Genomic DNA, 12128 nt, shown 5'->3' with positions numbered 1-12128 from the left:
GGCTGGGCATGGTAGCCCACACCTGTAATCCCAGCATTTTGGAAGGCCAAAGCAGGAGGATCACTTGAGACCAGGAGTTCGAGACCAGCCTGGGCAACACAGAAAGACCCCATCTCTACAAAAATTAAAAAAAAAAAAATTATCCAGGCACAGTGGCACATGCCTATAGTCCCACGTACTTGGGAGGCTAAGGTTGGAGGATCACTTGAGCCCAGGTAGTTGAGGCTGCAGTGAGCCATAATGCCACCACTGCATGTCAGTCTAGGCTTCAGAGTGAGACCCTGTCTCAAAGTAAATAAATAAAATAAAATTTTAAAAAATGACTCTGTGAAATGATACTTGCTAGTATGGAAAAATGTTCACAGCACACTATTAAGTAAAACAGGCAAGTTTTAAAATATTATATTATTAAAACACTTTATATGCCCAGGAAAATATGCTTATACACACATACAGACACACACACACACACACACACACACACACACACTGACACCTTATGGGTAATAAACCTGAGGAAGCTGCCGGCCCCAGCTGCTGCAGGCTTGCATACCTGAGTTCAGGTTATGTTCGTTCTTGGATTAAGGAGTCACCAGGCCTGGGAGTTACAGGGGAGCAGGAGGGATTACAGCGTGTGTGCCTTCTCTGCCTCCTGTTACCTCTGTCAGTGAAACAATCTGGGCCTGGGGGGTTGGGCCATTATAAGATGTTTGGCATTCTTTGATGTGGACATCTGCAGGATCTAGACCAAACCAGGTCTTCCTTCCTCAGGGGTGGCTAGAAGCCGCAAAGTTCCAGAACTGATCTGCTCACAGGAGGCTCAGAGAGACCCTTTCAATTCCTCTCCCACACCCCTGGCAGCAGCCTGTGCCTCTCCAGACTCCCTTTGGGAGGCATTGCAACTCTCTAGCAGAGGTGGCAAACTGCTGGCTGCCAAGCTGAATCTGGACCCTGGACATGGTCTGACCTGCATAGCGTGGTGGTTGTTGCTTTTAATTAGTTGGCAATATTGAATGATTTTAAGGTTACATAGAAACCTTCAAATCTGAATCTAGCTTCTCTTAAAAATTGGAAGATCAGGCCACAATGAGCTTGCATTCCAGAATGGTACTAATCCACTGCAGTGAGTAGCAGCTGCCCCCTCTGAGTGGGGCTTCTGCATCGCACTTTGCCCCAGTCCCCACAACTCTCTATTGTCTCATCCTTACCCATTTGACTTATTGACATCACCTGCCTGACCACTGTAAGAATTTGAGTTTGCAACCCCTGCCATGTGCAAGCATGTTGGAGGGCAGGAGCTCCACACTCTCAGCCTCATCCAGGAGCAATGTGTTACATTTCCCTTCTCTATAGAGACAAGATGGGTACTGAGGCCTCTTTGATAACTGCACAGGGGGAATACAGCACGAGGGCCAGGGGTTGTTCCAGACCCTGCTACTCCCTTGTTGCTTAGGGTGTTGTGCAAGCTGATCAGCTTTCAGAGGTGAGGTGGATACTGACCAAGAGTGGCAATGCCCAGTGATGCTTACGGAAGAAACCCTAGGCTTGGGAGCAATCTCAAGATCAGATGCAGCTCCTAAGCTGTCATCGTGGTAGCAGTCCTGGAGCAGCTGGAATAGCAGTCGTCACCATCCTTCCCCAGCTCCCCAGCAGTGCCAGGCTAAGCTGTCCTGTTTGTCAGCAGCCCTCTAAACTCTGCATCCACTTCCTTCTCTATGGGTCTCTTCTATGTACACAGGCTGCCATTAGATCCATTCCCCAAGACACTACTTCTTTCTGTTAGAAAACTGACATACTGGTTTTGTTAGAAGAATGCTTACTGCCATTTGCTTGGAATTAGTGTCATGAATGTGCAATGTCTACTATGCAACTAGCACCCTCACAAACATGGTGTGCTTGTGCAACGCACAGCCTGAACAACTGTTCTTGATAGTCCTAATGCAAGTAATAAATTAGCAGTTCCTGAGGCCAGCTGCAGAGCTCTAACCTGGAGAAGGGGCAGAGCCACGGCAGGCCTAGGAAAGCAAAAGCCTCTTCTTTCAGCCTCCTCGGTCTCCCCACTGACTGTTTGCAAGTGTAGGCAACTATTTAGGGACCCCCTGTTTGGAGGAAAGTTGGTATCACTCAGGCCTATGGGTCCCCTTTCTAATCAGCAAATTGATCCACTCCTGGCCCCTCAGCCTAGGAACTGGGGGTGAGTAATCCAGACAGGAATGAGGTCTGGGGTTTCCATCTTAGCAACAAAAAATTATTTTAACTTTCACACAGTGGCAGAACAAACAGAAGAGGACTTCTGCTCCTCATCGACGTAGCTGGTTCATCTACTCTCCTGCCTTGTGATCGAGCCAGGTTTCTGATAGTTATGAGACACTTCTTCCCCTTGGTCCTTGGGGGTGTCATCAGACCCTGTGGCAGGGCACTGAGGTTGGAGAGGAAGGGCATTCCCAGGCCTCCCCCACTCTTCCCACAGGCTGCCCAGCTCCTGCCCTAGGGCTGGAACTAGTGGGCTTCACCCAAATGTTGTATGAACGCTGACACAGTGTAAAGAAGTGACTGCTCTTTTTTCTTCAGGGTCTCAGAAATGATGCATCTGAATGAACACTGTCCCCTAGAAGTGACCACTTCAGGAAGTTGCATTTTCATAAATTAATGTTCTTCCCATCACAGCTAGTGTCCAGGGAGCTGGGGTTATCTAGGCCACTGACTTTCTTCCAGTGACACTGCCAGTGCTCACATTGTTCTGGAACTTCTTGGAAATTGCTCCTAGAGTCAGTTTAATCTTGTTCATTTAGAGTCATGCTGTATTTGGGACCTGGGATTATAATTATCAGGGTTAATCATCTCTAGCTTATTCATTGCACTTGGCTACAACTTAATGGTGGCTGTTGGCCAAAAATCAAACCTGTCCTCAAAGGACAAAGATTTGCCTCTTTCAAGGATATGCAAGCTCTGAGGGGTGGAGTGTTCTGGAAAGCCATGGCAGCATCCTTGAGAGAAAGCTGGCAGCGGTGGGACACGTGTTCCCCAAGGTGACAGCTATAGAGGGCGCATGCGGCTTTTAGACATGATTGAGGCGTACGGACTGTGCAACTTGTTCCATTAAAAATATTTACTGAGTGCCCATTTTATGACAGGCACTGTTCCAGGTGCTGGAGATAAAGCAGTGAACAAACAGATCAAAGCCTCCACCCTCATAGAACTTACAGGCAAGTTCAGGGAGATACAACAAAATTAATTGGCCAGATAATGCCGATGATAATAACGGCTACAAGGAACATGGAGGAGACGATGCTGGGGAGGGAGGCGGAGCTGCAAACTCAGAGTGTTCAGGGAAAGTCTCCCTGGGAAGGGGACGTTTGAGTCAAGGCCTGAGGAAGGTGAGGAAATGAACCACGTGGATGTAACTGAGACACTGAAAAGGCCATCGTAGCTTATTGCCCACTGTCCTGTGAGAACGCACACATATTCCCAGGTAACTACAGCTCGAGTGCACACATCATTTGCATTTTGTTTTCTCATTTGCCAGAGCAAACATTTCCCTGTGTTTTCTTCACAGTTTCTATGATTATAATATTAATGGGTGCATAATATTTGTTTAGATCTATGTATAGTGATTCACTGAAGCCAACCCCTATTGTTGATTCTCTCCTTTTCTTTTCTTTTCCTCTCCCTCTCCCCTTCCTTCCTCCCTCCCTCCCTCCCTCCCTCCCTCCCTCCCTTCCTTCCTTCTTCCACCTTCCCTCCCTCCCTCCCCTCACCTCCCCTCACCTTCCCTCTTCCTCACCCTAACACTTAGGCTGGAGTGTAATGGCATAACCAGGGCTCACTGCAGCCCCTACCTTTTGGGCTCAAGTGATCCTCCCACTCATAGGTGTGTGCCACCACGCCCAGCTAATTTTTTGATTTTTAGTAGAGACAAGGTCTCATTATGTTGCCCAGGCTGGTCTCAAACTCCTGGACTCAAGCAATCCTCCTGCCTTGGCCTCCCAAAGTGCTGGAATTACAGGCATAACCCACTGTGCCTGGCGGTTTCTCATTTTTTCACCACAGCTATTGATCTGCTGGTCAACAGCTTCTGCTTTGGTTGCTTTATTTCCTTAGGATAAACTCCCAGAAGGGAGAGAACAGGGCTAAAGGGGACGAATGTCTCTGCAGCCTTTGCTATGTAATGCAGTGTTGTTTCCTAAGGGGATAACGTCCATATCTAGATCTGAAACCATTAAAAATTCGGTTCCCACCACACCTAATTTATAACCCCTAGTAATGCCCTCTCAGTTCCCCCACAGCCGTCACGTGAAGATAAAACCCGGCAGCTAGAAAGCCAGATCACCAGTGTTGAGGAGATCTAAGGGTGGGGTGGGACCAAAGCCGCTGGCCCCAACCACCCCCTACCCGCCTGGGGGATGCACAAGATGAGGGCTGCACTCACGTGAGCTCTGGGTAGACGTTCTCCAGGTACCAGCGGAAGGACTTGCAGTTCATCTTCTTCCTCTGCTCTATCCGCGTAGCCACACTGTAGGAGGAGGCAGGGCTTGGGCTTTGGCCTGCCAGTGTGGAAGGCAGCCCGAGGGAGGATGCCAGAGGCCTGTCCCCCAGCCCCAACTATCTCAGGCAGGCAAGGACCAGGAGACTTCCAGCCTGCCATGTCCAGCCCTGGCCACTTATCTGATGTTATTCTCTGACTTGCAAGCTCAAGGCAGGTCTCCTGGCTATGCCTCACTCATCAAATTCCTGCCTGGAGCTCACCTTTCAGGGTGAGCACAGACCATACGGGACCATGCCTTTCTCTCGGCTTCTCACTCCTTAAGACCTCTGTTAGCAGACCATGAACTGGTCTTTATCTTTGCAGAATTAATGAGAAGTACAGGAGGAAGGTCTAACAGCAGGAAGAGCAAGCTTTAAACATCTTTAGATGTGTTGGCAAATAAAACCATTAGATGTGTCCTTGGGACACCGCCATCCTCACCTTCCTCAGGTACACCCACCACAATGGCCACTGGTTGACGGCCCTCGTCACCAGCTATCTGAGCCTCAGTTTCCTCTACATTCAACTGGGGACACGACCACTCATCTCAGAAGGCTTTTGTGAGAATCAAGTGAATTAAGTGTGAAGCACTTAGCACAGGGCAGGTGCTAAGTAAATGTTAGTTCCTCATTACAAGAAATATTTAGTGACATAACTTATTTTTTCAAAAAAAGGGAGATAGATATGAATAAATAGGGAGAAGATTCATTGATCATCATTAATAGTGTTTTCAAACTTTTCTGACCACAAGCTTAAGTAGGAGATAACTATCTTACATTTGTAATATAATACGCCCCATGTACAGTCAGCCCTCAGTATCTGTGGGTTCTGCATCCATGGATTCAACCAACCTTGGATCAAAAATACTTAGGAAAAAATTTCAGGCCAGGTGCAGTGGCTCATGCCTGTAATCTCAGTACTTTGGGAGGCCAAGATATGCAGATCGCTTGAGATCAGGAGTTCGAGACCAGCCTGGCTGACATGGTGAAACCCCATCTCTATTAAAAACACAAAAAATCAGCTGGGCATGGTGGCACGTGCCTGTAATCCCAGCTACTCTAGAGGACGAGGCAGGAGAATCGCTTGAACCCAGGAGATGGAGGTTGCAGTGAGCCTAGATTGTGCCACTGCACTCCAGCCTGGGTGACAGAATGAGACTCCATCTAGAAAAAAAAAAAAAAATTCCACAAGGTTCCAAAGCCAAACTTGAATTCGCCACGCATCGAGTACCACATTGAATCCATGCAAATGACGTGATGTGTAGGCATTGTATTAGGTATTATAAGTAATCTAGAGATGATTTAAAATATTCAGGAGGTTGTGCATAGGGTATGCAAATACTACACTATTTTATATCAGGGACTTGAGCATCTGTGTGGATTCTGGTATCCGTGGGGGGTCCTGGAACAAATCCCCTGCAGATGCAGAGGGGCAACTGTACATGTGTAGGTACATGCATGCACACACATGCACCCACAACGGAAATAAGAGTTTCATAAGGACAATACTAACCCTTAACTGCAATCAACTCTTATTTTCTATCCTGCTCTGTACTAATCTAATCTATAGGGTTCTACTTCTCTCTCTCTCTTTTTAAATGCTGGTCACGACCCACTAAATTGATTTCACAACCCATCTGCATTTTGAAAATGCTTAACTAGACCATAGTCCTAACAGTCCATGACAGGAAAATAGGCTAACAGATCTCAATTTTGAACAGGGAGTGGAGGCAGAACCCCAAATGCTTTCTGCAGGCAGCCCCCTCCTAAGCAGTTCCACAGATGCCTGTTCTTCTGCAGGCAGCTGTGGACAGGCAGCTCTTTTTCATAAGCGAGCCTTCTCTCCCATGAGATTTCACGCTCCTCAAAGCCTAAGGTCTTGTCTCTGCGGTTGCATTCCCTCCCAGGACCCAAAGAAGCCCATTAGAGTGGGACCTCAGTGGCTGGGGAGGTGGCGGGTGGTTCCCTGGCGTACATACCACTTCGTATTTTGCTGGGGTTGTGCTAATGTGGGTAGAGGGAGTCAGACAGTGGAGCTGGGGGGGCCCACCTGCCGAAGGCCTTCCCGATGGCCGAGGGCCGGGCCTCATAGTAGTATTGCTTGTATTCATCCATCCACACTTCTGCAGTGCGCTTAGTATTCCTAAAAGGAGAGGAAAGAGCAAAATAAGGTCACCAGGGAAGCAACAGGGTTAGCGGTCAGGATCAAGATTAATCGATCCATGAATACAGGACGATGAGAATCTCAGGAGCAAGGTGATACTTGGATGGTATAGATTAGCACGGTCCTTTTGGAAGACAGTCTGTCAATACCCATCGACTTTGTAGGTATGCAGCTAGACTTGGGCAGCTGCTGCTCCAGACGCTGTACGAATAAGCATGAGCTCGACAAGGTGAAGAACCATCCACATGTACGAGGGTGCTCATGACAAGTCCCTCATCCTCCCCTGCCAACCTCCTCAGGAGAGCAGACCGTGGAGTGGTCTTCTAGGACATTACCCACTCTCCCTTGAGACTAGTGCACCCTGTAGCTGGGGATAGGGATGGACAGATGGTTGATCAAGTCAGGGTTGGGGCACAGGCATCCATGACCAGCACTCGGGGCTCCATGAGTGGAGAGCATGGCTTAGTTGGGGATTTGGCCAATTTTCCGAGACTCATATGGACAAAGGAAGTCCATATGAGTCTCAAGGCAAGAGAGACCTGGTGGCAACTCCCTCCACCCCTGAAGGTACCTGCAATCCCAGGATGTTACCAGAGGGGGCAAATGGGGAAACTGAGGCCCAAGAAGTGAGGTGGCTGCCCACAGTCACATAGTGATAACTGGCAAGGCTGGGGGCTTGGGCCTTGGTGTCCTCCTCTGAGTCCCGTGCTCCTTTCTCGGTGACCTACCTGATGTAGGTGAGGGCATTACCCTCAGGGAAGTTGTAGGGGTGCCGTTTCCTGAAGACATGGCCCACCCGGCTGCAGGGGACGATCTCCAGACTGCCACCACACATCCACACCCTGAAGGAGAGCTCTGCAGGAAATAGTAGCCGTCAGGAGGAGGAAGGGGTTCCTTGGCAAGTGAGGGTGGGAAGGGGCTGGCTTCCCTTCCCTTTGGTGTCTCACTGGAGGTACATGTTGGGGTCGGGGCTCCTGGGCCTGCTCAAATGGAGTGCTCCCACTCCTTGCACAGGTTCCTGACTGCCCACTCTACGTGTGTACGTGCACATGCACACACACACATATACACATGATCCCCGTGGCCCATTCCAGGAAGAGCAGTGGAAAAAGCTTGAAGGAACACCAAGAACATAAGTAGAAGGAAAACAACCAAACAGTGGCATCATTTCCAGGCTCTGTCTAGAAAGCCCCAGACAGACATGAGCTAAGGAAAAACACATCTGCTCGTCAGCCAGCTCTGTGCACCTGAGAGGTCGGAAAACCAGCCACCAACCAAACCACAGGCTGCTCCAGCTGGCACCTCTTGGGCTGGCCCCAACCTCCCTCTTGACCCAGTTGGTCTCCTTGTACAGGCTCTCACTGGCCCTCTTGAGCCATGCCTCCTTTTGACAGCGGTGGTGGAGCTGAACCAGCTTTTGTGGATGACTGTGGTCCCCAGTGGTGTCGGGAGAGCAGTGGCCATCCTGCTGCCCAGAAGGGGACCTCAAAAGTTACCACTCTGATCTCCGCTCACCAGTTGCCATTTATGGTAAGGACCCACCTTGACAGCTGGCTGAATCTCACATAATCTCTTTTGATTTCGTACTTTCCTTCATATTAACCCTATAGTCTCTTCCCACTCCTCAGCTGGCTCTAAGGACACTCATGATCTCCAACCAGGCCTGGGGGCTCTCACGTGGCATAGCTGGTCAGGACCCTCCCAGTAACTAGCAAAGGGCAGAGTGGAGGAAGCAGGACTAAAGCCCACCTCTGGCCAGCCTGTGTGCACCAAGTGACGTCCAGATGTGGTTCAGGGCCAGGACCGGACACTTGGCATACCTGGACCCACATGTAAGGATGGCTATATCAATGGGCTTCCCTAGGTCTGCCTATAAACTGCCAGGCATCCGTCCCTTCTCCTGGTCAGAGCTCTGTGTTTGGCCTCAGCAACTAAGGCGTAGAACTGGGCACAGTCCTGGGGGGCCGAAGATCTGCATTCTGGTTCCATTTCTGCCATCCCAACTTTGTTATGCTAGTTAAGTCACTTCATCCCACTCAGCCCATAATGTCTATAATATTATTAACTATTGTTATTATTATCAACAATGGCCATAACAATAGCAGTAACCATCCATTTACTGAGTACTTACTACATGCCATGCTCTTTCTATCCAATATCTAATTCTCACTGCAACCATGTGAAGTCAGGATTTTTAGCCTTATTTTTTTTAACGAGGACGTTGAAGCTCAAAGTTGTTAAATAACCTCTCCAAGGTCACTCAAATATTCAGTTGCAGAAGTGCAGCATCAAGTTCACATTGTGTCCAGCAAGCCACACTGTCAGATTCTTTAGTTCACTCAGCAAATTTTCATTATATGTCAGACACTGCTCTAGATTCCCTTGTACTCTAGCAGGGAAGTGAGAAGACGGGAACTCCATAAAATAAGGGGCAAAAAAATGCAAGTAAACAAGAAAATGCATAAAAATGTAGCATGTCAGCCAGGTGCGGTGGTTCACGCCTGTGATCTTAGGACTTTGGGAGGCTGAGGGCGGCAGATTGCCTGAGCTCAGGAGTTCGAGACCAGCCTGGGCCACATGGTGAAACCCCGTCTCTACTAAAATGCAAAAGAAATTATCCGGGTGTGGCGGCATGCACCTGTAGTCCCAGCTATTTGGAAGGCTGAGGCAGAATTGTTTGAACCCGGGAGGCAGAGGTTTCAGTGAGCCAAGATCGTGCCACTGCACTCCATCCTGGGTGACAGAGGGAGACTCTGTCTCTAAAAATAAATAAATAAATAAAATGAAAAAAATAAAAATAAAAAATAAAATAAATACAGCATATCAGATGGTAGTTAGGGCCATGGAGAAAAATGAATCAGGCTGGGAGCTGAAGAGGGCCAGTGGATGGTGGTGGGGGAGGACTAAGACTATGTTTTAAACCAGGCTGATGAGGGGAGTTGTCACTATAAAAGGGACATTTGAGCCAAGACCTGAAACAGATGAGGGAGCAAGTCCTGTGGCTAGCAGGAGAAGAGCATTCCGGGCAGAGGAGCCGGCAAGGGCAGGTCCCTAGAGGCAACAGCACAGCTGGCAAGTTCAAAGAGGCCATGCTGGCTGGGGGCGGTGGCTCACGCCTACAACCCCAGCCCTTTGGGAGGCTGAGGCGGGTGGATCACCTGAGAGGTCAGGAGTTCGAGACCATCCTGGCCAACGTGGTGAAACCCCGTCTCTACTAAAAATACAAAAATTAGCCGGGCCTGGTGGTGTGTGCCTGTAATCCCAGCTACTCAGAAGGCTGAGGCAGGAGAATCGCTTGAACCCTGGAGGCAGAGAGTGCAATGAGTAAGATTGTGCCACTGCCTTCCAGCCTGGGCAATAAGAGCAAGACTCTGTCTGAAAAAAAAGGAGGCCGTGCAGCCCACGTGGAGTGAGGCAGGGTGGGAGAAGTGGGAAGTGAGGGCAGGGGTGTGGCTGCGGGGCTGCAGGGAAAGGCAGATACCCTGTAGCCAGTAAGGAGTTTGGGTTTTCCTCAGAATGACATGAGAACTCTTGCAAGGTTTTGAGCACAGAAGCAACATAATCTATGTTTTAAAAGGATCCCCAACACATCTTTGTTGGGGATCCTAACCTTGCACATCTGCCAGCCCCACTCAAGGTGGCCTCTGGGCTCCCGAGTTTGGAATTCTTTGGGGACAAAAGAACACGTCTTGGTTTGGAAATCTCCCTTCCTTCAATAAAGGAATAAAAGGAAAGGCTCAAACCCACCAGCGACAGGAGTCTCATAGCTCAAAACTGGTCCCAGCGGCTGAACGTCTGAGCACTGCAGCTAGCCCAGACATTTCTTTGAATTTCTTCTAAGAAACAAAACCCTTGCCAGAACCACTCTGTGGTTCACCTTTCAAGTTCTCCAACCACGGAGCCCTTGCCTCAGGCAGAGTTTGAAATGAGCTGTTTGATCATTCACTTGTTTCTCTGTCTCTAGCCTCAGAAAAAAAAGAAAAAGAAAAAATGGCCTTTGGAGGCAGAGCAAGGAGACTGTGGGTTTCCCAGCTTTCCAAGTCTTCACAGGAAACTGGCTTTGCCAAAGCCCTTCAGGCCGAGATTGAAGACACAAAGCGGGTCACTTGGACCCAAAACACATGAAAGGGGTCAGAATGGAGGGGTCACTGCACCCCAGTTCCCAGAATTTACTTCTCTGAACCCTGCCTGGAAACAGCCTCCAAAAGCAAGTTACAAAGCTGGGGGAGTCCCATGCCCATTCCCACTCCAGCTGGTTTTGAGTCGGGATCAGGCCTGTTGCAAGCCCCCTCACTGCTATTTTCCTCATCAGGGAGAAAGAGTTAAAGAATCCCTGCTCCTAACGTCTCAGAGACATAGACTGTGCCTTTGCCAACGTCCCACAACACATAAGTGGCTCTGGTAAAGGAGCTGCATACGCCCATTAGATGTGGAGTTTCCGGACTGAAATCTAGAAGGCAGCATCCACCTCAGTCTTTCTACCTGTCAAATGGGTGAGATACCACCAGTGCTAGTTATTGCTCAGAACACCTGGTCAGGAAGAAGAAGGAAGCAGTGGGAGAGGGCTCTGTGAAGGACTGGGCCCACCAAGAGGGCAAGAACAGGCCACCAAGGACCTGCCCCTGCTCCTGGAGACCCCCAGAATGGTGCTCCCCACCGCCCCCGTCTCCACGTCGCTGTTTGTGAGACAGCCCCTGGGGGCTGCACTGCTGGGTTCCCTTCCTCAGGCAGACAGGGAGGCACCAGCAGGAGATGACGGGGTGGGGGTAGAGTGAGGGTGAGTGTTTAGCCCTGACACTCTCCACCTGGTGCCATGGGCTGGCTGCATGTGCCCCAAGACCACAGCTCCATCGTGGGGTGCTCCCTCACCCTGTCTTTCAGACCTTGGGGTGGTTACAGCTCCCAGAAGTCACAGCCCTGCCCAGTACTGTGCTGTCCCTATGGTTCCCTCTATCCTGCCCGCACCATGTAAATAAGCCCTTTAATAAACACTCAAGTCGGTTGCACCTTCCGTATTCTGCCAGGACCCTAACTGATGCTCACCCTTTATCTAACCTCCATCTCACTTGCAACCCTGTTTTGCAAATGAAGAAACTGAGGTTCAAAGAGTTGACTGGCTTGCCAGCCCACACATACTGGAGTCCAGAGTTTGGGCTCCGATCCCACTTGGTAACCCTTCCCTGGTACTCTGTGGCCCCAACACCGTGAGCTGAGAAGCAAGTGTGTGAGGGTCCAGCCCCCTCCAGCTCCCTACTGGAACACTTTGCCCCCACCTCTGTCTCCTTCGCTGCTGCTTCAGGGCAGGGAGGGGCAGCTTCCTGTGCTTCTGAGTCTAGAGACTGCCTAATGACAGTGGCCACCAGCACTGTGACCTGCCTTTAACTCATCACCTCATTTAGTACTCATAACAACCTCTTGAGGAAACTCAGACTTTAAAGGG

General features: G+C 49.7%; 1 protein-coding gene across 7 annotated transcripts in view, besides 2 other annotated features; it reads right to left on the bottom strand.

Moving 5' to 3' along the window:
• The window catches only part of GALNT16 (polypeptide N-acetylgalactosaminyltransferase 16), a 126707-nt gene that overhangs the window by 40144 nt on the left and 74435 nt on the right, over positions 1-12128 (bottom strand). For all 7 annotated transcript variants that reach the window (XR_007064036.1, XM_017021498.2, XM_047431618.1 and 4 more), the window contains 3 exons: positions 7417-7543; positions 6575-6667; positions 4430-4513 (listed from right to left, as the gene is read on the bottom strand). Coding sequence is in view for 6 of the 7 variants with exons in the window: in XM_017021498.2 (XP_016876987.1) it covers positions 4430-4513; positions 6575-6667; positions 7417-7543 (304 nt within the window). In the remaining variant the exon portion in view is untranslated. The remainder of the gene's footprint in view (positions 1-4429; positions 4514-6574; positions 6668-7416; positions 7544-12128) is intronic.
• Positions 10954-11454: an enhancer, noted in NCBI's record as "H3K4me1 hESC enhancer chr14:69801457-69801957 (GRCh37/hg19 assembly coordinates)". NCBI's record gives its function as "activates a minimal SCP1, AML or CMV promoter by ChIP-STARR-seq in primed H9 embryonic stem cells {active_cell/tissue: H9 hESC(primed)}" and the evidence as "EXISTENCE:reporter gene assay evidence [ECO:0000049][PMID:30033119]".
• Positions 11455-11955: an enhancer, noted in NCBI's record as "H3K4me1 hESC enhancer chr14:69800956-69801456 (GRCh37/hg19 assembly coordinates)". NCBI's record gives its function as "activates a minimal SCP1, AML or CMV promoter by ChIP-STARR-seq in primed H9 embryonic stem cells {active_cell/tissue: H9 hESC(primed)}" and the evidence as "EXISTENCE:reporter gene assay evidence [ECO:0000049][PMID:30033119]".

This window comes from Homo sapiens, chromosome 14 (assembly GCF_000001405.40).
Source record: "Homo sapiens chromosome 14, GRCh38.p14 Primary Assembly".
In the NCBI taxonomy this organism is placed as follows: domain Eukaryota; kingdom Metazoa; phylum Chordata; class Mammalia; order Primates; family Hominidae; genus Homo; species Homo sapiens.
The sequence above is the reverse complement of the archived record's forward strand: the minus strand, read 5'-3'. Positions and strand labels throughout refer to the sequence as shown.